This window comes from Homo sapiens, chromosome 16 (genome assembly GCF_000001405.40).
Source record: "Homo sapiens chromosome 16, GRCh38.p14 Primary Assembly".
Classification (NCBI taxonomy): Eukaryota; Metazoa; Chordata; class Mammalia; order Primates; family Hominidae; genus Homo; species Homo sapiens.
The window spans coordinates 71,686,616-71,714,072 of record NC_000016.10 but is presented as its reverse complement, the minus strand read 5'-3'; the positions used below and the strand labels follow the sequence as shown (position 1 = coordinate 71,714,072).

General features: G+C 40.1%; 1 protein-coding gene, 1 long non-coding RNA gene and 1 other non-coding gene across 4 annotated transcripts in view, besides 2 other annotated features; 2 read left to right on the top strand and 1 right to left on the bottom strand.

The window, feature by feature from the left end:
* Window positions 1-27,457, top strand: part of PHLPP2 (PH domain and leucine rich repeat protein phosphatase 2) — a 79,778-nt gene that overhangs the window by 10,629 nt on the left and 41,692 nt on the right. For both annotated transcript variants that reach the window (NM_015020.3, NM_001289003.1), the window contains exons 3-4: window positions 11,342-11,475; window positions 23,364-23,554. In NM_015020.3, coding sequence (NP_055835.2) covers window positions 11,342-11,475; window positions 23,364-23,554 — 325 coding nt within the window. The remainder of the gene's footprint in view (window positions 1-11,341; window positions 11,476-23,363; window positions 23,555-27,457) is intronic.
* Window positions 5,564-6,192: an enhancer, noted in NCBI's record as "NANOG-H3K27ac-H3K4me1 hESC enhancer chr16:71741784-71742412 (GRCh37/hg19 assembly coordinates)". NCBI's record gives its function as "activates a minimal SCP1, AML or CMV promoter by ChIP-STARR-seq in primed H9 embryonic stem cells {active_cell/tissue: H9 hESC(primed)}" and the evidence as "EXISTENCE:reporter gene assay evidence [ECO:0000049][PMID:30033119]".
* Window positions 13,060-13,119: an enhancer, noted in NCBI's record as "active region_11076". NCBI's record gives its function as "activates an Ori minimal core promoter by ATAC-STARR-seq in GM12878 lymphoblastoid cells {active_cell/tissue: GM12878}" and the evidence as "EXISTENCE:reporter gene assay evidence [ECO:0000049][PMID:35858748]".
* Window positions 14,500-27,457, bottom strand: part of LOC124903712 (uncharacterized) — a 28,774-nt gene continuing 15,816 nt past the window's right edge. The window contains exon 2 of the long non-coding RNA XR_007065109.1: window positions 14,500-14,715. This is a non-coding gene — a long non-coding RNA (uncharacterized LOC124903712). The remainder of the gene's footprint in view (window positions 14,716-27,457) is intronic.
* SNORA70D (small nucleolar RNA, H/ACA box 70D) lies at window positions 15,372-15,506 on the top strand. The gene has a single exon (NR_033337.1). It is a non-coding gene; the product is annotated as a small nucleolar RNA, H/ACA box 70D (small nucleolar RNA).

The following is a 27,457-nucleotide window of genomic DNA, read 5'->3' as shown; positions in this document are numbered from 1 at the left end:
AGCTAGTCAGGAGGCTGAGATATGAGAATCTCTTGAACCTGGGAGACCAAGGTTGCGGTGAGCCGAGATCATGCCACTGCACTGCAGCCTGGGTGACAGCAAGACACTGTCTCAAAAAAAAAAAAAAGAAAAGTTGTTGTTTTTTTTTTGAAAAGTGTAAATAGAATGAAATTTTTAAAAAGGGTATAGAGTGAGAAGTACTTTTCTGTCCCTCATTCCCCAACTACCCAGGCCTGTTCTTGATAGTTATTACCAGCTTCTTTATGCACGCTAGGAATATTCTGTTAAATTATAAGCATATATGTGCCCATGCGTGAGTATGTGTCTCTACATATATTATAAATTTTAAAACTCATGGTGCTGTATGCAACACATTATTGACTTAATATCTTTTAGAGATCTTTCCATGTTAAAATTTATATAGTTGTCACTTATTTAATGGCTGCAGTAGTGTTCAATTTTGAGTCTACTATAATTTTAGCCAGTCTTCTATTAATGGACATTCAAGTTGTTACCAGTTTTTTGCTACTACAAGAAGTGCTGCAGTGAGTATCCATGTACCTGTGGTATCTCTCATATGTGAGAGTCTGTATGATAAACTCCTAGAAGTGGAACTGCTGGGTCAAAGGATATTAGTATTGTTAATTTTCATAGTTACTGTCAAATTCTTCTTCATAGAGGTTATATTTCCATCAGAAATATGAAAGTATATCTATTTTCTCCTTACTTTCTCAAAAATATGTTAGTAGTAAATTTTATGTATAAATAGAGGCACATACACATGAATGAGCTCAGACTTGCTCTTAAATAGAAATGATTGTTAAAAGTTTTAAAATTAGAGAATCATAAAGTCAGCATTCCAACGACAAATCTTTTTCTAGGCCAAGTGACTTAGATTTCTGCAAATGTGAGAGGAATTTTGTTGTTTTGTTATTTTAATTTTCATTTCTCTTAATGAGCATATTTTCATGGGTTTAAAAGCCATTTGTGTGTTGAAAAATTTTTATGCAAATGTGAAGAAAATATTTTTATAATAGTCTTATACTATGCATGTGAACTCTTTGATTCAGCTTTTTAAAGAAAATCGCTGTTAGTTCTTTGAATTAGTTGTCAAATAAGAGGTCTTTAAATGCCTGACCATGATTTTTCTCCTTTCTGCATTTCCTGTCATTGAAAAAGTGTCTTGAAACAGAATTCAAAGCTGTGGATTTAATACTGTTGAAAGTGAAAAGGAAGCTCCCACTTACACCTTAAAAGTGTGGTAATAATAGTAACACCTTTAGCTGAGCTAAAATTTGATGTCATTTTTAAAGTCTAAACTGAGATCTACTATGTGTTCCTTTTAGGATTTGGACTAATTCCTGAAAAAGTAGATTAGCATTTGAATGTTTTCCTTGTTCACCAGTTTACTACATTTGCTAAATCCATTTGTAAAACGAAAGGATCAGACTGGGTGATCCTTAGGCTTTTCTAAGTCTTAACACTGATTCTGATCTAATTTTATCAGGTGGAAAGCCTTGACCTATATTATATCTGGTAGTGATTGATTAACTTATTTAAGTATATGGTGTATTCATTTGTATAGTAATGTTTATGTATACAAAGATATTAGAAATACGAAGAAAACCCCACTGGAATGGCTTGCTACTAGTAGTTGTGTAATTAGTTAAGAATCCGAATGTGATAGTTTATTTACTTATGTGTTTATTTACTTATGTGCCCTGTAGCCTTCATCATTTATAATGAAATAGCCCTTTGAAGGTATAATTGATTAGAAAATAATGAAAGCACTATTGAACTGTGGTTTCAAAGAATGAATATATTTTCATTGCTGGAGTAGGAGCTCAATAACTTTTATCCAGCTAAGGATGATGATGATGGTAGATTTCAGCTAACATTAAGTGCTTTCATGTGTTGGTATGCTTAGTGCTTTATGCACATTTTCTCATTAAATCCTCACAATAACTCCAAGGGAGGTAGTATCGTTGCTTTTAGATGAGGAAGATTGAGGCCTTGAGAGAGATTCAGTAACCTGCTCAAGGACAGGCAGGTACTGCCCTGCAGTTGGAATGCCTGAATCATTCAAGGTAGATGATGGACTTCTTTCTGAGTAAAGGCCAGCTGTGACAGGAACTGGCGCAGCAGTGACACTTCCTCAGTTTCACTATTTAATCATGCTTATTTCAAGATTGTTTTTAGATCTGTTACTCAGCTGTTACTTGTTTATGATCAGTTTTACATTATCTAATCAAGGGAGTATTTTCTGCGTAAAAGCCCTTTGTCAGATAGTTGACAATCTAAGGCATTATCTTTTTAAGGAACTTTTTGCTGATTACTGAAGTATGTTCACCGAAGAAATTTTGGAAAATGAAAAAGCATAAAGAGAAATGATAATCAATGCTTATGCTTTATGTAAATTACCTCATTTAATCCTCACAACCATCTTGTGAGGTAGACGCTGTCCCCATTTTATAAATGAGGAAATTAAAGTTTCACAGGGTTAAGCATCTCATCTAAGTGCAATCGGCTACTAAGTGGTAGAGCTGGAGTTTGAATCCTGGCATTCTTATACTACGTCTGTCTTCTGTATTGCCTCCCCATAGTAACATTATTTTTACCCAGATCTTTTTTCAATCCCACATACTTTTAAATATTTATGTATTTGGGCTCACATCATATTCAGTTTTATATCCTGTCTCCTGTCTACTTAGTGGATCATCTTAATTCCTTTTTTTTTTTTTGAGACGGAGTTTCACTCTTGTTGCCCAGGCTGGAGTGCAGTGGTGCGATCTCGGCTCACTGCAACCTCTGCCTCCTGGGTTCAAGCGATTCTCCTGCCTCAGCCTCCTGAGTTGCTGGGATTACAGGCATGAGCCACCACACTTGGCTAATTTTCTGTATTTTTAGTAGAGACGGGGTTTCTCCATATTGGGCAGCCTAGTCTCAAATTCCTGACCTCAGGTGATCTGCCCGCCTCGGCCTCCCAAAGTGCTGGGATTACAGGCATGAGCCACCGTGCCCGGCTGGATCATCTTAATTTCATGGTGTCATTAGAAATTCTTTAGACACCAGTTTTAATAGTTACAGAATATTCCTCTGTATGGATATACTATAAATTGAGACATAATATGCAGCAATGGTTTAGAGATTGGATTCTGGAATGAGAGTGTATGGGTTCAAATCCTGGCTTCGACAGTTACTATGCAGGATATATAATGCTCTGTGCTTCAGTGTAGTAATCTGTAAAATGGAAGATGATAATATTTACATTGTTGAGTTGTCATGAGGATTAAATTATAAATGATATGAAGATTAAATGAATTAATATTTGTAGTGCTGCTTAAACTGTCCACCTGTGGGGCTTGTTCAAGTACAGATTCTGATTCAGTAGGTTTAGGTGGAGCCTGAGAATGTACATTTCAATTAAGCTCCTAAGAGATGTGCTGTACTTCAGATAGCAATAAAGTACTTAGATTGATGTCTGGCACCTAACAAGTGCTCAATAAATATTACCTATTTCAGTTGTCTGAAATCATGCAAGTCTTAGAATTGGTGTTGCATTGACTAAACCATTGCCCATGTATTGTCACATTGCTGATTTCCCTAGGCTAGGTCCTGGAAATGGGATTACTGGGATTAAAATTACCCCACGTTTTCTCTGAGTTATTCATTACTACTTTATGTTTTTTTTAACCATGAGTTATCACTTGACTATAACTCAAGAATTACTAATTTATAGAATTTTAGCACTTGAGGAAACCTTAGAGAGATCATCTGGTGGTGAAACTAAATCTACCCTGTAACCCTCCCACCTTGCCATTTGGAAATATGTGTGGGGACAGGGTTTTTTGGTTGTCATAACTGCTGGGAAGAGTTACAGAATTTAGGTGGCAAGGTCCAGAGAGACTTATTGAAATGTGTGTGTGCCAAGTGCAGTGGCTCAAGTCTGTAATCCTAGCACTTTGGGAGGCCAAGGCAGAAGGATTGCTTGGGCTCAGGAGTCCTAGATCAGCCTGGGCAACATGGTGAAGCCCCGTCGCTACCAAAAATATTAATATAAAAAATTAGACAGGCATGGTGGTGCACACCTGTGGTTCCAGTGCGCGCACTTCTTGGGACGCTGAGGTAGGAGAATCGCTTGAGCCTGGGAGGCGGAGGTTGCAGTGAGCCAAGATTGCACCACTGCATTCCAGCCTGGGCGACAGAGAGATCCTGTCTCAGAAAAAAAAGAAAAAGAAAAATGTGTGTGGGACAACCTTGTACAGCCAAGGATTTTCCTGTCCCAAAAGTCAGAAACTTCCCCATTAGGAATCACTGAGGCCATTTCCCTCAGTGAAAACAGACTCAGAGGGTTCAGGTTGAATGCACATTCCTGCAGCTGGCTGGTGATAGATTGGTCTTGTCTCTCAATCTGCTGCTACTTACAATTAAAATATTTGGCTTGTCTTTTCTATTGAACTGTTTCGAGTGATAAAAATGACTCACTAGTGAAGCTTAGTGTAATCATTGCCTCCTGTCTGAAAAGTTGTTAAGATCATTTGTGATAAAATGGATTGCCCTTTGGCTGATGGTCATATACTTTTATTCTTAGTCATCGAAATAACCAACTGTTTTTCTTTTTTTTTAATTTTTATTTTTTCATTAACCAGATGAGAAGAGAAACTAAGATTTCTAAATAGTCAGTAGCTATCTTTTAAAATTAGTTTAGAACCAATAGGGTGTGTATAACAGAAAATAGCACCCTTGGGATTTGGGATGCTGAGTTCTGATTCCCATTTGCTGAGTCACTAAAATTTTGTTTGCCATATTTTGAAATTATAAAGGTGGAATGAAACATCCTGTTTTAGGATACATACTGAACTGATTACCACTGAATAGGGGAAAGGGAGTTTTTTTTCCTACATGTTTTTGTGCTATTTAAAAATTTTAAAAGAATGCATTATATGTTACAAAATTGGAATATAGGTAAATAATTTTCTTTATTTTGAAACATTTTTTATCCATTTTAAAACTTCTGAAATCAGCATATATATTAGAGTTGATGGTAGGTTATAGTTTAATTGGCAGAATTTTTTAAAATTTATTTTTCTTTTTTTAAAAAAATAGAGATTGGATCATGCTATGTTGTCCAGGCTGGAGTACTGTGGCTATTCACAGGCCCTATCATAACACACTACAACCTTGACCTCCTGGGCTCAAGTGATTCTCCTGTCTCAGCCTCCTGAGTAGCTGGGACTACAGGGGCACGCTGCTGCATCTGGCTAGATTTTTCTTTTTTTTGGTTTCTGAGATGGAGTCTCATTCTGTTGCCCAAGCTGGAGTGTAGTGGCACAATCTCAGCTCACTGCAACATCCGCTTCCTGGGTTCAAGTGATTCTCATGCCTCAGCCTCCCGAGTAGCTGGGACTACAGGCGCGCAACACCAGGCGCAGCTAATTTTTGTATTTTTAGTAGAGACGGGGTTTCACCATGTTGGCCAGGATGGTCTTGATCTCTTTGTCAGGGACATCCGTGCGAAGAGACCACCAAACAGGCTTTGTGTGAGCAATAAAGCTTTTTAATCACATGGGTGCAGGCGGGCTGAGTCGGAAAAAGGAATCAGCAAAGGGAGATGGGGTGGGGCAGTTTTATAGGATTTGGGTAGGTAGTGGAAAATTACAGTCAACCTGCTCTTGCGGGCAGGGTTGGGGGTTACAAGATGCTCAGTGGAGGAGCTTCTGAGACTCATTGTCCAGGAGAAGGAATTTCACAAGGTAATGTCATCAGTTAAGGCAGGAGCCGGCCATTTTCACTTCTCTTGTGGTTCTTCAGTTGCCTCAGGCCATCTGGATGTGTACAGGCAGTCTTGGGCTCAGAGGCTTGACATTCCTGTCTTTTTATATTAATAAGAAACACAAAACAAAACAGTGGTGGAGTATTGGGATGGCAAAAATGTTTGGGGGTGGTATGGAGAGATAATGGGCGATGTTTCTCAGGGCTGCTTCGAGCAGGATTAGGGGCGGCGTGGACACCTTAAAGAAAGGCTTTGACCTGGTGATTCACCCACTGCTGCTTCCCAAAGTGCTCGTATTACAGGGGTGAGCCACTGTGCCCTGCCGATTTTTCTTAATGGTTATTCTGACACCAGCTGGCTTGCTGTAATACAGATCTGACACTGACTGCCAGAGTTAGTGCAGAATTCACAAGTTAAAGGGCAAGGCCCCAGCAAGACTGCCCTTCAGACTCCAGCTGCACTTCTGACCAACTGTCTGCAAGGAAGAACTTGGCAGAACTCAGGAAGGTGCTATACTTACAATTACAGTTTTAGCTTGATGCAAATCAGCACCAGCCAACTGAAGAGACACATAGGGTGAGGTCTAGAAGAGTCCCAAATACAGAACTTTGTACCCTCTCCCAGTGGAATCAAGGCCTGTCACCCTCCTACCATATCGAACAGTTCATCAGCTGGGAAACTCCACTGGTGTTCAGTACAATGTTTTTATTGGGGAATCATTATGAAGGCATAATTGGTTGAATCTTTGACCTCATGATTCAACTCAGTCTCCAGCCCCCTGTGCTTCCCCACCCAGGTCAGGGTGGCTCAGAGCCCCAACCCTCTAATCACATGGTGGTTGGTCTTTTCTGGTGACCAGCCGCTGTCCTGAGTCTTCTCATCTCTTAGCATAAACTGGGGGGTGATCCAAGGGGGTCATGAATAACAAAGACACTCCTATTATTCAGGAAATGCTAAGGATTAGAGTCTCCTCACAGGAACCAGGGACAAAGACCAGCTGTATTCTTTATTATTCAGCAGTGGTGCGTAAAAAATGGTGTATCTTGGCCGGGCGCGGTGGCTCACTCCTGTAATCCCAGCACTTTGGGAGGCCGAGGCGGGCGGATCACGAGGTCAGGAGATCGAGACCATCCTGGCTAACACGGTGAAACCCCGTCTCTACTAAAAATACAAAAAAATTAGCCGGGCGAGGTGGCGGGCGCCTGTAGTCCCAGCTACTCGGGAGGCTGAGGCAGGAGAATGGCGTGAACCCCAGGGGGCGGAGCCTGCAGTGAGCCGAGATTGCGCCACTGCACTCCAGCCTGGGCGACAGCAAGACTCCGTCTCAAAAAAAAAAAAAAAAAAAAAAAAAAATGGTGTATCTTTTAAATCATGATATATTGGACTTAATGAAATAATGGTAATTTTAAAACATAGCTTTTTTAGGTTTCTTGGTGTGAATAAGTTAACACATAAAGTGGTTTGAGCTCTCTTCTGCTTAATTTATTTTAACTATATATAAAATAATTTGGTTTTCCTGAAAAGAACCTAGGTTTTATGAAACCGACACAGGTTCCTACCCTGATGTCATTATGTACTAATTGTGTGACTCTGAATCTCATTTTTCTTATTTGCAAAATAGACATAGTTTTGTAATAATTAAACATTTTCAGCATAGTGTCAGGTATGAAATAAACATTTGTTGAAGTATCCCTATTGTTTCTATTTGTATTATTATCTATATTACTGATTTTAACATTTGCAGATTTTACCTTTATAGGCAGTCAAGGATTGAGTTTTAATCTGAATTTGATGTAGAACATGGTACTATACTTTGTTAGGGTCTTTGATTCCATGTGTTTGATTTTAATAGTGTATAGTTTGGCCACCCCACTATTAACTAAAACTCTTGTGAAATGATACTTGGAATGAAATTTACTCTTCTTACATATATCTTAACTATAGGGACTGCTTAGAATAACTAATACAGAATGATACTACTCTTGGCTAAGCGGTATAATCTGCTGTTAACAGCATTGCTATGTCCGTTGGCTGGTTTGGAGAGAAATTACCATATGCATATATATTCAAATTTACATGGACTATAGTAGGTCTCACAAGCATTTGAAGCAAACCAAAACTGTTACTCCAAAACTATTGTCTCCTTAAAGCAGTAGTAGAAATAGTTCAAATGCTGAATAGAACTTTTTGTTGCCAGTATTACTTTCTCTCACACCTGTTTTGCAGTATATTATTTCCCTTTGATTGGTGAGAGATTTAACAAATAGCTAATTACCAGATTCTTAAACTTTTGGAACTTTGAAACACAAAATTGAACTGTAAGCACATTATAGCATTTCCCTCCCCAATACTGTCTACTTTTTTCAGCAGAAGAGTTTAATGAGTAAATGGAATTAGTCCTTCATTTTACTTGTTTTTGTACTTCTTGAAATATTACTTGTTTACTTAGAAGAAAGAAAATACTTTCTTACGGTAGATATGTATAAGGAGGTCTGGGTGTGGTGGCTCATGCCTGTAATCCCAGCACTTTGGGAGGCCAAGGCGGGCAGATCATGAGGTCAGGGGTTTGAGAGCAGCCTGGCCAGTATGATAAAACCCTGTCCCTACTAAAAATACAAAAATTAGCTGGGCATGGTGGCGTGGGCCTGTAGTCCCAGCTACTCGGGAGGCTGAGGCAGAAGAATTGCTTGAACCTGGGTGGCAGGGGTTGCAGTGAACCAAGATCGCACCACTGCACTCCAGCCTGGGCAACAGAGCGAGACTTCGGCTCAAAAAAAAGAAAAAGAAAAAGAAAAAGAAAAAAAAGACATGTGTAAGGAGGGTTTCCAAAATCTACAGAGCCTTTTTAGGCCAGGAAATTTGGTTGTGTAAAATATGTCAGAATTAGGATGCTTCCATTTCTTTCAGTTTTCTAGAGAGAAATAGAAAAATTGAGCACTCGAGATTTAGCCTGAAAGTATAATTGTTTGTTGGTCCTGAATACGTGGTCCTTATATGGAATTATAGTGTTTAAATACACTGAACTGTAGGGGTCAGGTAGAATTTGTATTATATTAGGAAGGTGCCTTAGATACCTCATAGACCCTTGATTTCTGAAATGCCCTGAAGATCATCTGGCCCCGTTTGGTTCTTACAGGTGTTTCTTCTAAAATGTCTGTGACAGATGGCTCTCCAGGTCTCTCTGAACAGTTCTGAGAGGCAGTTCATTTCATGGTTGAGCATCTCTAATGGTTAAAATTCTTCCTCATGTTTAGCTTAAATCTACCTATGCACCTTCTCATTGTTCTGAGTCCCATTCTTTGGAGCAGTACAGAGTTAAGTCCAATCCGTCTGAACATTTGAAGATCTGTCTCTTTATATCCTTACTCTCCTTGTCTTGAAGTTAATCCTCCATCAGTTTATTCATATTATATGGTTAGTTGACCTCTCTCCAGGATGCAGTTTATTAAAAGTCCCCCTTAAAACGTGTCTTTCTCTCAGAAGAATCCCACCATTGTGCTGGGAAAATGCCTAAGATTGTCATAGACAATGAGTTTTGTAAATTTTGGTTTTGTTTGGCTAGGGATTAATTGTAATTGATGTCTACATAATCTGAAAAGTTTATTTCCCATTTCTCTTTAATTCAATCTTTATTGGTCGTTACAGGCTTTTTTTTCTTTGATCATTCCCCATGTAGCAGTTCATTCTGAGTTTATGTGATAGTTTCTGGAAGCTAAAATACTGAACTGAGCAGTCAGGAGAGGCCAGGTGGTTGTTTTATTTTTGTCTTTTTTGTACATCAGTATGATTTCTGTTCCAAAATTATCATTTTGTTACAGTTGTTTATGTTCAGCTTTGTAGTTGTTTATGTTCAGCTTGTTGCCAACAGCATTTTCTAGTTCTTAAACTACAAAATGCAGACATCATTCATATGTTTTTGTCATGATGGGAAATGCATCATGTTTCTTATAGTTATTAATACTATAATTATTAAGTTTTTTTTTTTTTTTTTTGAGACAGAGTCTCACTGTCGCCCAGGCTGGAGTGCGGTGGCACCATCTCGGCTCACTGCAAGCTCTTCTCCCAGGTTCATGCCATTCTCCTGCCTCAGCCTCCCGAGTAGCTGGGACTGCAGGTGCCCGCCACCATGCCTGGCTAATTTTTTTGTATTTTTAGCAGAGATGGAGTTTCACCATGTTAGCCATCTCCTGACCTCGTGATCCGCCCGCCTCAGCCTCCTGAAGTGCTGGGATTACAGGCGTGAGCCACTGCGCCCGGCTATTCTTAAGTTTTCTGAACAGGTTCTTAACAGGTTCTTTAAATGTTCTTTCAGACCTTTTGAACACATACGGACTTTCCTGTGCTTGCTTTTGGTTGTTGTTTGAGATGGGAGAAATACTCTATTTTTATTCTAAAATTGATTCCAATCTTAAAATTTTTTAGAATAATAATTGTCAGTATCTTACTGAACACTTACTACATGTGAGATATTTTGCTAAGCACTTTTCATACTATATAGTATCTTGTTGAAAGTAAATAAATAAATTTAAACATCTTATGAGTTAGGTATTGTTGCTATTCCCATGATACTGATGAGGATTTAAAACAGTGAGAGTAAATATACTGGGGCATGCAGTTGGTAAGTGGCAGGACTAAGACTTGAACCCAGGCAGTTGACTGTTGGAGCCTATACGTTTAGCCACTGTATTTATAACTGTTTGGTTTCTGGTAAAAGCATTATAAAAGAGCTGTCTTGCTATTATGACTATTATAGCCCCTTCTATCAAAATGCACATTCATCACTTTTGTTTTTTTTTTAAATATTTTTCAGTATTTTAAGTCTGTGATTTAAAATACAGTGTCACCAGAGGCCACAAGTGATTGCAGGACATTCTGGTTTTACCTTAGCTTTCAATTAGGACCATGTAGTAGAATGATCTTTAGGGAGTTATTTTAAGGTGAATTAATAAATGGAAATTCTCAATTTTAATTTCTAATTTGGTAAATATCAATAGATATAACACATGTAAACAAAAGCTCTTTGTGATCCCCAAAGTATAAAGGGGTCCTGACACCAAAAAGTTAAAAAAACACTTGTTTAGATTAGTTGTATCATAGAATATTAAAGAAAAACTTGACCTAGGAATAAAAATCAAGAGCAGATTTTGTATGTTGAGTTACTACTCAGCCATGAAAAAGGAATGAAGTCATGTCTTAATGTAGCAACATGGATGGACCTGGAAGTCATTATCTTCAGTGAAATAACTCAGAAACAGAAAGTCAAATACTACCTGTTCTCTCTTACAAGTGGTAGCTAAATAATAGAGTGTGGGGTAATAGACATTGGAAAAGCAGAAGGGTGTGAGGGTGGGGTGGGAGTGAAGGATGAGAAATTACTTAATGAATACAATATACATGATTCAGGTGAGGATTACACTAAAAGCCCAGACTTCACTACTAAGCAGTATATTCATGTGACAGAATAGCACTTGTACCCCTGAAATTTATACAAATAAAAATACTAAAAAATTAAATGAACCATTTTTATTACTTACCAAATATATATATTTTTTTGAATTGTGTAATCAGGAGACTGGAACCTACTGAACGACCTCTTCAGATCGTTTATGATTACTTATCCAGGCTGGGATTTGATGATCCTGTGCGCATACAGGAGGAGGCTACAAATCCTGACCTCGGCTGTATGATTCGATTTTATGGTGGTAAGAATTTATCAGTGGCTTTGTATGTTAACTACTTTTAGGTTGATCATTTGTGCCTCTTATCTGCCGTCAGCTTTTTAAAGGTATTTTATCAAAAGCTAGTTTTAAGCCAATTAACTAACGTAGTTAACACCAACCAAACAACAACAAAAGCCAAGAGGTCAGGGGTAAGGGAACACTTTAAAAATATCTTCTCTTTTTATTTTTGCTCATTTTGCACTTGTATTTTGCTAACTTACTAGCATTATTTTATACCTTTGCCAGAATCTTGACTGGATCATGCTTTAGTAAATTATTTTTTCAAGCTCCTGGTAAAGTCTGTGAACTTCTGGATAGCTCAAAAATGTTGAGAGTAAGTAATCATTATCATATATGACTTGACGTTGATGAGTATACCTGTCAAATTTGTATATTGGTGAATTTAGTGGGGTTTAAATCTAGGATTTTTGACTCTTCTGAGAAAAATATTTTAAGATGAATTTGAGGAACACGACCCATCTATCACTATAATAGTTAAAAAAACAAAAACTTGGAACAGTAACATGCTTCTTATCTGATTGTGGTTGAACCCTAGTTCTTCATTATGGTAGTCCCCCCTTATCCACTGGGATTGCGTTCCAAGATCCTTAGTGGATGACTGAAATTGCAGATAGTACTGAACTCTATATGTACTATGTGTTTTCCTGTATACACATACCTATGGTAAAGTTTAATTGATAAATTAGGCAAAGTAAGAGATTAACAATATTTAATTATAAAATAGTATAATTATAGCAATATGCTGTAATAAAAGTTAGTGAATGTTCTCTCTCTCAAAATATCTTGTACTTTACTTCCTATTTTCAGACCATGATTGACTGCAGATAACTAAAACCTTGGAAAGCAAGACCACAGGTGGCAGGGGGGCTACTGTGTATATTTTTTTCTAGAATGAAAGTTGAACCTTTCTTTTACGTGCAGTTATACTGCACAGTGGTTGGCTCTGATGCCCCTACTTTTCCTACCACCATCTGATAAATGACAGCATATGCAGGATCTTAATGTACTATACCCTTAAGAGGATATTTCCAGTAGAGTCTAAAAGAGTACCAGTTTGTAGTACTTAAATTTTGAGGGATCTTTCCAAAAGTGAGTTCTGTTGACATAGAAAAGCTAGTATGGTTTGAGTGAGGAAATTAAGTTTGGGATGAAACTTAAAGTTAATAATCTTTGAAAAGTAATAATGTACCTGGTACCAAAAACAAAACGTAGGTAGTAGGTAGGTAGGTAGGTAGATAGATATATAGATAGATAGATAGATAGATAGATAGATAGATAGATAGATAGATAGATGAATTAGTTATCTGTTGGCTCTGTAACAAATTGCCTCAAAAGTTAGGACTTAAAATGATTAATACTTAATAATTATATAGTTTTTGTGGGCCAGAAATCTAGGAGCAGTTTAGCTGGAGGGATGGTCCTGGCTTGGGTTTCATGAGATTTTAGTCATCTGAAGGCCTGAGTAGGCCTGGAAGATTCACTTTCAACACGGTTCACTCACATGGCCTCAGTTCCTCACCAGCTGCTGGTAGGAGGCTTCAGTTCCCTCTTCTGTGGATCTTTCCATAGGGCTTCCTAGGCGTCTTCACAACATAGTGGCTAGTTTCCCCAGTGATGAGACACACGTATACACACATGCATGCACGTGCACAGAGGCCTCAGTGTCTTTTATAACCAAGCTTTGTAAGTCACCTTTACTTTTACCACTTTTTACTTATTAAGAAATGAGTCACAGGCCAGGTGCGGTGGCTCACGCCTGTAATCCCAGCACTTTGGGAGGCTGAGGCGGGCAGATCACAAGGTCAGGAGATTGAGACCATCCTGGCTAACACAGTGAAACCCTGTCTCTACTAAAAATACAAAAAATTAGCTGGGCCTGGTGGCGGGCACCTATAGTCCCAGCTACTGGGAAGGCTGAGGCAGGAGAATGGCGTCAACCTGGGAGGTAGAGCTTGCAGTGAGCCGAGATCGTGCCCCTGCACTCAAGCCTGGGTGACAGAGCGAGACTCTGTCTCAAAAAAAAAAAAAAAAAAAAAAAAGAAATGAGTCACTAAACACAGCCCATACTATAGAGAGAGGAATTAGCTCCAGTTTTTGAAAGGAGTGTCAAAGAATTTGTGGGTCTATTTTTTTTTTTAATTTTTTATTTTTTTTGAGACAGGGTATCACCCAGTTGCCTAGGCTGTAGTGCAATGCTGCCATCATGGCTCACTGCAGCCTCAACCTCCTGGGCCCAAATGATTCTCCCACCTCAGCCTCCCAAGTAGCTGGAACTACACGTGCGCACCACTGCACCTGGCTAATTTTTGTATTTTTTGTAGAGCTGAGGTCTCGCCATGTTGCTCATGGCTCGAGGCTGGTCTCAAACTCCTGGGCTCAAGTGATCCTCCTATCTTGGCCTCCTAAAGTGCTGGGATTACAGGCACGAGCCACTGTGAGCAGCCGGATCTATAATAAAACTGATGCAGGATATTTTCTTGACCCCTCTTTGGGACTTGTGACAGGGGTACCCCATTTACTCAGCCCACCCCGCTCAACCCCTTGTGGGAGGGAATGCGCAGGTGAATGAGTGCGTGAACTGGCTAGCTGATTGGACGCTGGTGGGAACAAACCGTGTTCACTGGGGTCTGTTGTGCTCCACCCTTTGTGGGATGTAGCGCATAGGAGAGCGAGTGCAGGAACTGGCTGCCTGCTTTAGCACCAGCAGAAGCAAACTCTGTGTAGGCTTGCAGCAGCGTCCAGGTGGGGGTGTCTGTGATCCCAAGGCCCCAGAGGACATGTTATAATGCTCTCTTACCTCTCTCATCTGCAGACGGCAATGTGTTACCAGGTCAGTGGTCCCTTTGCCTTGTTGCGTAGGGCGGCTGCTTTCCACCAGTGAGGGTAAAGGGCCAGTGTGACAGCCTTTTTGAATACCGGCACTTGGTGCGTCCCAAATTCTTGTCTGGTGCCTAAGAGGCATGAGGTCATGTGGACAAATTGAAAGATGGTGAATGCGGAGAATTTTATTGAATGATGAAAGCAGCTCTCAGTGAAGAGTGGAGCTGGAAAGGGAATGGGAAGGGCAGCTCACTCTCCCTTGAAGTCAAGTTGCCTCCCTGCCACTGTCTTCTGAAGTCAAGTCGCCTCTCCCTGATGTCCAGCTGCTTCTCTTCTCTGCTCGCTGAGTCTGGGGTCTTCATGGGCACAGGATGGGAGGTGCTGTAGGTAGTTTTGGAAAAGGCAACATTCGATTGGTAAAAAGACACTCAGAAAGAACCATTCAGGAGAGAGCAGACAAACAGGGATGGAAATTCTCACTTTGGGCCACAGGTTTCAGGCTTTTTGGCTCGAAGGTGGGGTTTTGCTGGGCACCTGTCCCTGTCTGCCTAGAATTTCTCTGCCTCCTGTCTCTATCAAAACTATCATAGAAAATATGCTTCCCTCTCACCTTTTTCCTCCAACCACCCAGTTCCTGAAACCAGACACAACTATTGTTACGGAAGGAAAGAGTTGAAGTATTCTCTTTGAAGTAAATAGCTTAGTAATCAGCTTCAAATATTTTATGTGTAGAATTTTTGGTGCATCAGCTTATTTGGAATATAGTGTTAATAAAGCCAAGGTCATAAGGGCCCGAGTGCGAACCAGTTAATGTTGTGTTCTCTGGTTATAAAAGGACACTGGGTAGTGTCCCAGTCAGCCATTATGCAAATGCCAGTTATCAGTCTTGCTGGAGAGGGAGTGCTGGGGGAAAAGTGAGTGGAATGGCTCTCTCAGTTCGAATTCATGATATAAAAGCTGTGGAGATAACATTTCACTAAAGTCAAGTTGAGTAGGTAGCATGATTAATCATGGGATTAAGAGAGCATGTAAATCCTCTGCAGACAGTTAAGCCAACTGAGTTCCTTTCCTCAGGGAGGCCCAGTGTACAATGGCTGCCCACAGCAGCTTCCTTGGTAGCGTACTCAGCCTGTTTCTTGTATGGGTTGCTCTAAGGGACCTTAGAGACAGGCCTTTCAGATGGATGTTCATGTCTCTGACTTTGTGCTATCCCCAGTCTAGGCTCCAAACAGGTATGCGAGGTGCCTTTGGAAAGCCGCAGGGCACTGTGGCCGAGGTTCACATTGGCCAAGTTACCATGTCCATCTGCACCAAGCTGCATAACAAGGAGCACATGATTGAGGCCCTATGTAGGGCCAAGTTGAAGTTCCCTGGTTGCCAGAAGATCCCACATCTCTAAGAAGTGGGGCTTTACCAAGTTCAATGCAGATGAATTTGAAGACATGGGGGCTGAGAAGCAGCTCATCCCAGATGGCTGCGGGGTCAGTTACATCCCCAGTAGTGGCCCTCTGGACAAGTGGCGGGCCCTGCTCTTGTGAGGGCTTCCACTGTGCTGCCCCCTCTTAATGCTCACCAATAAATCCTACTTTCTGGGCCGGGCGCGGTGGCTCACACCTGTAATCCCAGCACTTTGGGAGGCTGTGGCAGGCGGATCACGAGGTCAGGAGATTGAGACCATCCTGGCTAACACAGTGAAACCCCGTCTCTACTAAAAATACAAAAAATTAGCTGGACGTGGTGGCGGGTGCCTGTAGTCCCAGCTACTCTGGAGGCTGAGGTGGGAGAATGGTGTGAACCCGGGAGGCAGAGCTTGCAGTGAGCTGAGATGGTGCCACTGCACTCCAGCCTGGGCGACAGAGCAAGACTCCATCTCAAAAAAAAAAAAAAAAATCCTACTTCCTGTTCACCTTAAAAAAAAAAAGAGAGAGAGAGAGAGAAAGAGCAAACCTCTTATTTGCGTTGGAGAAAGTGGCATATAGAGGGTATGATTTGTGAGGGAAGTTGTAGCTCTGGGACTGTATGGCTCAGGTAGCACAACTCCCTGCCTGAACGTTTCTCTGTGTACTGCATTCTCTGCACATATTGTTTAAAACAGCTTTGTCAAAAGAGCATAAATACAAACATCAGAAGCCAGACGCAAAAGAATTACATCGTATATTTCCATTCATTTAAAGTTCAGAAAACAGGCTAAAACACAGCCATATTATTTTGAAATGTGTGGCAATACTATTGTTTATCAAAATCTGTTCTTTCATAGTAACAAAATTGTAGTGGGGCATATAACTGCCTAGCTACAGCCCATTTCGCAGCCTTTCTTGCGGTTAGGTGTGTACATGTGACAAAATTTTCTTCCATTGTATGGAGTGGACTTGATGTGCGCCACTTCTACCTGGTTCCTAAAACCCCCAGTGTGTGCTTCTCAGGGCTGTGGTGCTCTTTTCCTGTCTGGTGGGCTAGGATGGCAATAATCAGAGCAATAATTGAAGTCAAGTGTGGAAAATTGCAGACCCTGAGTTTCTTTTTATTTATTTATTTATTTATTTATTTATTTATTTATTTATTTATTGAGACAGAGTCTTGCTCTGTCGCCCAGGCTTGAGTGCAGTGGTGCCATCTCAGCTCACTGCAACCTCCGCCTCTCAAAGATTCAAACAGTTCTCCTTCCTCAGCCTCCTGAGTGACTGGGATTAGAGGAACCCACCACCACAGCTGGCTAATTTTTGTATTTTTAGTAGAGATGGGGTTTCACCATGTTGGCCAGGTCTCGAATTCCTGACCTCAAGTCATCCGCCTACCTCGGCCTCCCAAATGTGCTGGGATTACAGGTGTGAGCCACTGTGCGTGGCCAGAACCTGAGTTTTTGAATGACAGTGTTAACCCCTGGCAAAACAGAATGCTCACTTGAATGAATTAAATTCCTGTTGCTTGAGCCATTATATTGTTTGCTACAGCCATAGTTAATACAGGATATATACGAAAGTGGCAAAAATATAAAGAGAGCAAGGAAATTATTATAAAAGTCAAGGGAGTGACTGAGGAGTGCAGGGAAGAGGACATGATTCTTACAAGTAGAATTTTTTTTTTTTTTTTTGAGATGGAGTCTCACTGTGGCCCAGGCTGGAGTGCAGTGTCGTCTAGGCCGGGTGCAATCTCAGCTCACTGCAGCCTCTGCCTCCTGGGTTCAAGCAATTCTCATGCCTCAGCCTCCCAAGTAGCTGGAGCTACAGGCACCCACCACCATGCCTGGCTAGTTTTTGTATTTTTAGTAGAGACAGGGTTTCACCATGTTGGTCAGGCTGGTCTCGAACTCCTGACCTCAGGTGATCTGCCCACCTTGGCCTCCTGAAGTGCTAGGATTGCAGGCGTGAGCCACTGCGCCCGGCCACATTTAAAATTTTGACTGAGCATTCCCAAGTTGCACAAATAGGTGTTACTAGTGTGTAGTTGATTTGGTAGAATTTGAGAGTACTTATTTCCCTACACCTTTGACAACATCAGGTATCATCTTTTCCCCGATTGCAAAAATACTATCTCATGTTAATTTGCATATTTAAAGCTTCTTTGTTAAAATATAGGAGTAACGTGGTAGAAAAACATTCCACCACCCTAATACAATTATTTTTATGATTGTGTATTTTCTTAGTCTTATTTTATATGCATATTTTATATTTTTATTTATTGTTCATATATTTTTGCATTTAAAACATTGGGTGTTTAACTACACAAGTGTAATATGACTATGGTGTCATTATCTGTGGTGTTTTAATTTGTTATAATCACCTCCTAAGTCCATTAACTGCTCTATAGATAACCACCATCAATTTGGTGTATATCTGTTCAGAATTTTCCAACTTGATTATTTTTATATAGTATATATTCATAGAACCATATGGATTTTGTTTACATAAATGGTATTATTTGGTATTGGTCTTCATGCTTTTTTCACCCAAGAGTTTGTCTTGGAGATCTTACCTTGTCAGCATTTGCAGAACCATCTTCTGTATGCATTTCTTTTTTTTTTTTTTTCTGAGACAGAGTCTCACTCTTGTTTCCCAGGCTGGAGTGCAGTGGCATGACCTCGGCTCACTGCAACCTCCACCCCCCAGGTTCAAGCGATTCTGCTGCCTCAGCCTCCCAACTAGCTGGGATTACAGGTGGCTTACCACCACACCCAGCTAATTTTTGTATTTTTAGTAGAGGCGGGGTTTCACCATGTTGGCCAGGCTGGTCTTGAACTCCTGACCTCAGGTGATCCGACGGCCTTGGCCTCCCAAAGTGCTGGGATTACAGGCATGAGCCACTGTGCCCGGCCCTGTATACATTTCTTTCAGGGGCATAGTATTGGACATCATGTATGCATTATAGTCTGTGTAACCATCTCCTTAGTGATGGACATTTACTTTGTTTCCAGTTTTGGACGGTTAAAACAGCCATTTTAGTAAAATTATCTCTTTATGCACCTGTATTCCTTCAGAGTGATCTCTAAGAATGAAATTATTGGGTTATAGGTTACTCACGTTTAAAATATTAATAGTTACTACTGCAGAACACTTTTATATCCTGTCAGTATAACAGAGTACCCCTTTGCCTATAACCTTTCAATATTATTAGGCTTTAAAATATTTACTAATCTGATAGATAAAATGATGGTCTTGGCTGGGCACGGTGGCTCATGCCTGTAATCCCAGCACTTTGGGATGCCAAGACGGGCGGATCATGAGGTCGGGAGATCGAGACCATCCTGGCTAACACAGTGAACCCTTGTCTCTACTAAAAAATACAAAATATTAGCCGGGCGTGGTGGCAGGCGCCTGTAGTCCCAGCTACTCGGGAGGCTGAGGCAGGAGAATGGCGTGAACCCAAAAGGCGGAGCTTGCAGTGAGCCAAGATCGAGCCACTGCACTCCAGCCTGGGCGACAGAGCAAGACTCCGTCTCAAAAATAAAAAAAAAAATTTAAAAAATGATGGTCTCTTTGTTTAAATTTTTTTCCCCTGATTACTAGTGTGATTGAGAATTATTTCATATTTTTATTGGATCTTTCAGTTTCTTTGAACTACTCATTGATATTTTTGTACATGTTTCTGTTTCTCTTTTTTCATATTGATTTAAAGGACTTCTGCATGTATTCTGAATATATATCTTTTGGGTACTATATTTGTGACTCAATTTTTTTCCAGCCTGTAACTTTTTATTTTATTTATTACTTTTTATTGTGCATAAGTTTAAAATTTTTATTTAGTCACTGTTTAGTCAATTTATTTATTTTATTTATTTTTTGAGACGGAGTCTTGCTCTGTTGCCCAGGTAGGAGTGCAATGGCATGATCTCGGCTCACTGCAAGCTCGGCCTCCCAGGTTCAAGCAATTCTCCTGCCTCAGCCTCCTGAGTAGCTGGGATTACAGGTGTCTGCCACCATGCCCAGCTAATTTTTGTATTTTAGTAGAGATGGGATTTCACCATGTTGGTCACGCTGGTCTCAAACTCTTGACCTCAGGTGATCCAGCCAGTCAATTTTAAAAATTATTTTATTTTATTTTATTATTTTTGAGACAGTATTGCTCTGTCACCCAGGTTGGAGTGCAGTGGCATGATCTCAGCTCACTGCAGCTTCTACCTCCCTGGTGCAATCGATTCTCCTGCCTCAGCCTCCCGAGTAGCTGAGATTACAGGTGCCTGCTACCACGCCCAGCTAATTGTTGTGTTTTTAGTAGAGATGGGGATTTTGCCATGTTGGCCAGACTGGTCTTGAACTCCTGGCCTCAAGTGATCCAACTGCCCGGGCCTCCCAAAGTGCTGGGATTACAGTTGTAAGCCACTACACCTGGCCAGATTTTTACTAATATACATATATGATATATTTTGCTAGCTGATAGGAAAGTTTTCTGTCCCTGTTCTCTGGAAAATCAGAGATGTCAAGAAATTGGGGGAAGTCTTTGTGAAGAAGTTGTATTTGAGTTGGTTCTTTAAAAATTGACAACGTTTCACTAAGCAGAAATGAAAAAGAAGGCAGCCGTGGGAGATTAAAAATTTCATTGCATGTTCATGAATCACAGTTAATTTGAGTCCAGATTGTTTTGGGCCATGGGTGCTCCATCAGGAGTTTAGCCGTCATTTGGCAGATGGTAGCAGGAAGTGATGGGATCCAAGTGAGCCCAGGGAAGATCAGTCTGGTGCCAGTGTGGATAGTGATTCAGGTGTGAATTGATAAGGATCTGAACTAGGGAATAGGAAGGAATTGTTCATGTGAGAGACTTTTTGAAGGAGTAATCAGTAAGACTTAATGATTGATTGAAAAGAGAAGTTGAGAAAGCGAACCCAAGAGTTGAAGCTGCTTCTGAGGTTTTGAGCATGGGTGACTTCAGGAGATGAGCTTGAGTTGTGAGAAGGAGCTGCTGCTGTACAGGGATGGTGATGACTTGGTTTAGGCATGTTGATCTTTTTTTTCTTTTGTGAGACAGAGTCTCGCTTTGTCCCCCAGGCTGGAGTGCAATGGTGCGATCTCAGCTCACTGCAACCTCCGCCTCCTGGGTTCAAGCGATTCTCCTGCCTCAGCCTCCTGAGTAGCTGGGATTACAGGCATACGCCACCATGCCTGGCTAATTTTTGTATTTTTAGTAGAGATGGGGTTTCCATGTTGGTCAGGCTGGTCTTGAACTTCTGACCTCGTGATCCGCCCGCCTCAGCCTCCCAAAGTGCTGGGATTACAGGCATAAGCCACTGCTCCTGGCCAGGCATGTTGAATTTTAAGTGATGGTAAACATGTAGTTGGAGATATCTGGATAGTTGGAAATGTGGAACTAGAACTTAGGAATATAGATCTGGGAGAACCAAACTCTCTGAGGAAGGTGGAATTTAGAATACAGTCAGTCGTCCATATCCACAATGGATCAAAAATATTTTAAAAAAATAAAAAAACAAAGAAAAATATGGCATAACAACTATTTACTTAACATTTACATTGTTTTAGATATTATAAGTAATCTAGAGATTATTCAAATTATACAGGAAGTTGTGCGTAGGTTATATGCAAATACCATTTCATTTTATATAAGAGACTATAGCATCTGTGGATTTTGGTATCCTTGGGGAGGTCCTGGAATCAATCACTTGCCAATACCAAGGAACGACTGTATAGATGAAAGGATTGACCTAGAATAGAAGGTGAAATGCTTATCCTGTATAGTGTATTAATATACAAAGTTTTATTGAATAATACAATTTTAAGGCTTTGAAGTAATCTAGCTCATTTCCTCATATTGTATATGGGAAACACATGGTTAAATAGGCAAAGTGATACCTAAGTTAAATAGGCAAAGTGATACCTAATTTAAATAGGCAAAGTGATACCTAATTGTATAAACAATTAAGTGGCCAGGTGCGGTGGCTCACACTTGTAATCCCAGCACTTTGGGAGGCCGAGGCAGGCGGATCACGAGGTCAGGAGATGGAGACCATCCTGGCTAACACAGTGAAACCCCGTCTCTACTAAAAATACAAAATATTAGCCGGGCGTGTTGGCGGGTGCTTGTAGTCCCAGCTACTCGGGAGGCTGAGGCAGGAGAATGGCATGAAGCTGGGAGGCGGGGCTCGCAGTGAGCCGAGATCGCGCCACTGCACTCCAACCTGGGCGACAGAGCAAGACTCCGTCTCAAAAAAAAAAAATTATGTAATAATACCAGGAGTACAACCCAGTCTTTCCAACTTCTGTGTTACTGTTTGGACCACCTCATACTGCTACTCCTGCTCATTTCTGTGTATAGTTAGTTGTCCCTTTTTGTTGTTGTTGTTTTGTTTTTTTTTGTTTTTAAGACACAGGGTCTTACTATGATGTCCAGGTTGGCCTTGAACTCCTGGGCTCAAACAGTCTTCCTGCCTCAGCCTCCTGAGTACCTGGGACTACAGGTGCACACTTCTTTTAATAGTGCTCTTACCAAGAACTTCACGTCTTTTCTGTTATTATGTGCTGTTTTGTTCACTGTATCTCAGTCATGAAGGCCTCTGATGAGAAGTAGAATTTCCACCACCGTGATCGGAATAGTTGATTGAAGTACCACCCATAAGCTTTTCCATATTAGTGGCAGAGAGATGGAGGATTATGTACAAAATTAGAGTACTCCTGTAGTTACTAATTTCTTCCTTCTAGGGTAGATTAGTAACAATAGTGGTTGTCATTTATTCCATGTTCTTTTTGTACCTAAAACTATGCTTAGTATTTTATATTCCTTATTTATTTATTTATTTATTTATTTATTTATTTATTTATTTATTTATTTATTTGAGACAGCGTCTTGCTCTGTCGCCCAGGCTGGAGTGCAGTGGCATGATCTTGGCTCACTGCAAGCTTTGCCTTCTGGGTTCACGCCATTCTCCTGCCTCAGCTTCCTGAGCAGCTGGGACTATAGGTGTCCGCCACCATGCCCGGCTAATTTTTTTGTTTTTGTATTTTTAGTAGAGACGGGGTTTCACCGTGCTAGCCAGGATGGTCTCGATCTCCTGACCTTGTGATATGCCCGCCTTGGCCCCCCCAAAGTGCTGGGATTGCAGGCGGGAGCCACTGCAGCTGGCCATCTTACTTAATTTTTATAAGAATCCCCAGAAGGTAGGTTGTGTTAAGATTCAAACTGTATAAATGAGTAAAGTAAAGCGTAATGAGAATAAATAGTTCAAGTAAACAAAGTGACAGAACCAGCATTCAAATTCAAGTATCTCTGACTTCAGAGTTCATGATCTTAACCACTCTACCATACTGCCTTTCTCTGGGTACATAGGAGATATGGCTGTTGGAAGAAGGGTTAATGTAACAATGGCATCCAAAGTACAATTTTGCTTCATAGACCAAAATTCAAAGGTACTCCTACTGTATATAATTCAGTGATGGACTAGATCTAATTTTGTCTTAACTATATTGCTTGGTTACTTATATCTATAAATAAGGTTGTTGAATGTTGACACACAATGCTTTCTTTTTCCATTTCTGTATTCTTACACTACTTTAATGGTGGATTCTGAAGTATTATTTCCTTTTCAGAAAAACCATGCCACATGGATCGTTTGGATCGAATCCTATTGTCTGGCATCTATAATGTACGCAAGGGAAAGACCCAGCTGCATAAGTGGGCTGAGCGCCTAGTTGTCCTCTGTGGTACCTGCCTTATCGTTTCCTCAGTGAAGGATTGTCAAACTGGAAAGATGCACATTTTGCCTCTGGTTGGTGGAAAGGTAAGACTCACAAAGATGAATTATTTTTCATTTGATCATCTTAATTAAGAAAATATCACATAATGCTTTTCATAGCTTTTAGTCATATCTTTTCAAAGAAGCCAGTATGGGCATTATTAAAGATTATATCAGAGACTGTTTCAGAGGTTCAGAGGCTATTATGCCCCAAATCCTGTTGCAGAACTATCTGTTCAAGACATCCCCACCTCCACTGCTAGGCATTAGATTCTGGGGCTCACAATAGCCAGAGTAGACAGTGGATGCTACCATTAGAAGCTGCCTTTGGAAATTAGAAGTAGCTGCCAGCATCCATCACCAAATAGATTCTTTCGGGGTTTTTTTTCCCCCCCAATTAAATTAAAATTCAGAGTCTGAGGTAGTCATAAGTTGTGATCCAGCAGCCAGGGAGCCATGCCATTTCTTCCATCTGTCCTAGAGGAGTCTCCATCCCAGGAAAGGAGTTCACTTGTTAGTCAAACAGAATGAATGACAAATGACCATAAACAGATATGTTAATATTTTTAGGAAGCTATCTATACATGATTTTACTCTGTTTTGAATCTTGACTGTCATAAACCAATCTGAGTTTGTCTGGAAGACTTCCAGACAAAATTACCTCATGAATTCACACTTTGGATCAGGCATCCATTCTGATCCAAATACACAGCAATATTGATAGAATACATGTATGAAAAAGATAAATAAGCTGGGCGTGGTAGCTTGTGCCTGTAATCCCAGCTACTCAGGAGGCTGAGGTGGGAGGATCACTTGAGGCCAGGAGTTTGAAACCAGCCTGAGCAACATTAGCAAGACCCTGTCTTGGCCGGGTGCGGTGGCTCGTGCCTGTAATCCTAGCACTTTGGGAGGCCTAGGTGGGCGGATCACTTGAGGTCAGGAGTTCAAAACCAGCCTGGCCAACATAGTGAAACCCCGTCTCTACTAAAAATAATTTTAAAAAATTAGCTGGGCATGGTGGTGGGTGCCTGTAATCCCAGTTACTTGGGAGGCTGAGGCAGGAGAATCGCTTGAACCTGGGAGGCGGAGGTTGTGGTGAGCCAAGATCATGCCATTGCACCCCAGCCTGGGAGACAGAGCAAGACTTCGTCTCAAAAAAAAAAAAAAAAAAAAAAAAAGCCAGGTGTAGTGGTGTGGCGCCTGAAGTGTCAACTGCTTGGTGGGAGGTTGAGGTGGGAGGAGGATGGCTTGAGCCCAGGAGTTCGAGTTGCTGTGAGCTGTGATCGTGCTACCGTATCCTAGCCTTATGTGACAGAGTGAGTCCCTGTCTCTTAAAAAAAATAATAATAAAAATATGAAAAGACCTAGCTGAGCTTACAAATACAGAATAGAAACATAAAATGATCAGAAGGTCTGTGGGCCTCCTGGGCTCTGGGTCTGAAAGGTTGTGGCAGCCTCGGAATTTGGCTCTTATAAGTATTTAGTAATAGTTTTCTGCTCATAATGGGGGTCCTGGGTTAGTCTTACGGCCTAATGCCAGGCTGGTTGGTATCTTTTGTTTCTGCAAGAAAGCTAAAACAATAACTGCCATTAAGCACTGACTGAAACCAAGGCTTATTTCTAGGTTTGGTCCTAAAGAGGTGGGAGAATCCAGTTACATGGCCTTTGACCAGGAAATGAATGAAATCCCTACTAGTTTAATGAATGAGTGTTTGTAACTCCAGTATCAACCATGGGGCAGGAGCCCACCACTGTCAGTATGAGGTCTTAGGGGCTGAAGGACAAAGTGAAGAAAGTAAGTAGAGTTGCTTGAGAGGGAAAGAGTGAATGAGGACAAGGCTGGGGATTGGTGGAGAGGAAGCAGCAGATAGGGTGAGAGAGAAAATGAACCTACCATTCAAATGAACCTGAAATGTAAACTCCCTCTCACACACATACAAAAAAAAAAAAAAAAACCCACAGAGAAATTTAATACTAGGGAGGATTTCCACAAACTCAACCATCAGAAGATAAACTCACTTCAGATTGAAATGGAAATAAATGAGCAAACGTCTTGAAAATAAATGTGTTTAGAATTTTCTAAGAGAGAATGGAAGAACAAAAATGGAAAACAAATTCAGAAATAAGAATATCTGCCTATGAAAGAGCCAAGTAGAATATTGGAAATAAAAATACAGTTACTAAAATTTAAAACTTAAGTGGTTAAACTCTAGATCAGACAAAGAGAGAATTGATGAAGAGTAATTTTGTGTCTTCTGTTTGCTAATAGAATTTTGTTCAGGGTAGCAATATGCCCAGGATCAAAAACTAAATCTTCTAGCGGAACCCTCTTGTAGCTACTGAGATATACACAGAAGTTTCCTGGAAGGACTTTTGGAAAAGCTCTTTAAAATGGGATAGACTTTTAAAGAGCTTGACCTTTAAAGGTCATAAAGGGATGGCTTGACCCTTTGCCAGTTCCTCAGTGTCAGAGGTGGAGCAGTCATACGATGACTATGAGTTGGCAAACATATGTCCAGTGTAACGTTTGAGGAAGAAGGAGCCTGGGTCCTTGCTGGCCTATGGAGCTGTTAGGCTAGTCCTGGACTGACTCCTCTATTTTTTTTAAGCCACTGTTTAGTAGCTGAATGTAATTAACTGATGTACTGAAGAATTTCACAGATAAAAACTATAAAAGAATCCTTCAGAAAGGCTCTGGTATACATCTAATAGGAGTTCTAGAGAAGAGAGAGGAAGAGAAAAGAGAAATAATATCTGAAAAAATAATAGCTGAACATTTTCTAGAAGTGAAGACAAAATGAGTGTTTAGATGTGGCAATGTGTTTATTAAGTAAAATGTGATACACTCGGGATAAGAGGATAGAGACATCAAATAATCTTAAAATTTATTAGGAAAATTTAACAATAGCCACTAAAATTAGAGGAGGAAAAGAGAATATAGAAGACTTTGTAACGCTAAAATAAGGCAAGAAGAATTGAGAAAAAGGAGCAAAATAACATGTTAAATTTTCACAAATTATAGTGATAGTAATAAATCCGAATATATCAGTAATCATAATGATTGTGATAGTCAGATGTTATTTTAAATACTATTTGCTGTTCATAAGAGACATAATTAAAACTTACTCTTAGAAGGTTGAAGGTGAAATGATGAAAGAATATATACTCATCAAATAGCAATCAAAAGAAAACTGGTGTGGTTATATTAATAGCATATGAGACATTTATATGAAAGTTTATGTGCAACAAAGGACTTGTATTCAGAATATGTAAGGAACTTTTGCAACTAAGTAACAAAAAGACAAACCCATTAAAAAACTGGGCCAAAGATTTGAAGAGACCTGTCACCAAAGCAGATATACAGGTAACAAACACATGAAAAGATCTTCAACCTCAGTCATTAGGGAAATGCAAATAAAAATAATAGTGAGATACGGCACACCACTAGAATGGCTGAAATTAAAAGACTGATGAATAACAAGTTTGGCAAAGATGCGGAGCAACTGGAACATTTATACATCATGGTAGGAATGAAGTTACTTTGCAAAACAGTTATTCATTTTTTGTAAAATTAAACGTGTGCTTTTCAAATAACCCAGTAATTCTGTTTCTAGTTTTTATCCAAAAGAAATGAACATATGTTCTTTAAAAGACTTGTACATGAATGTTCATAGCAGCTTTATTCATAATGGCTAAAAACTAGAAACAACTTAAATGTTCACTGACTTGTGAAGTGATAAACAAATGTGATATATCTATACCAGGAAATACTGCTAAGCGAAAAAAAAAAAAGGGAAAGAACTGCTGATACAAGAACAAGGATAAATCTTAACAGCATAATTCTGAGTGAAAGAAGCCAGATACAAAAGTCTATTTATTGAATTATTCAATTTATATGAAATTCTGAAAAAGGCAAAAAATTGTAGTGATAGAAAACAGATCAGTGAT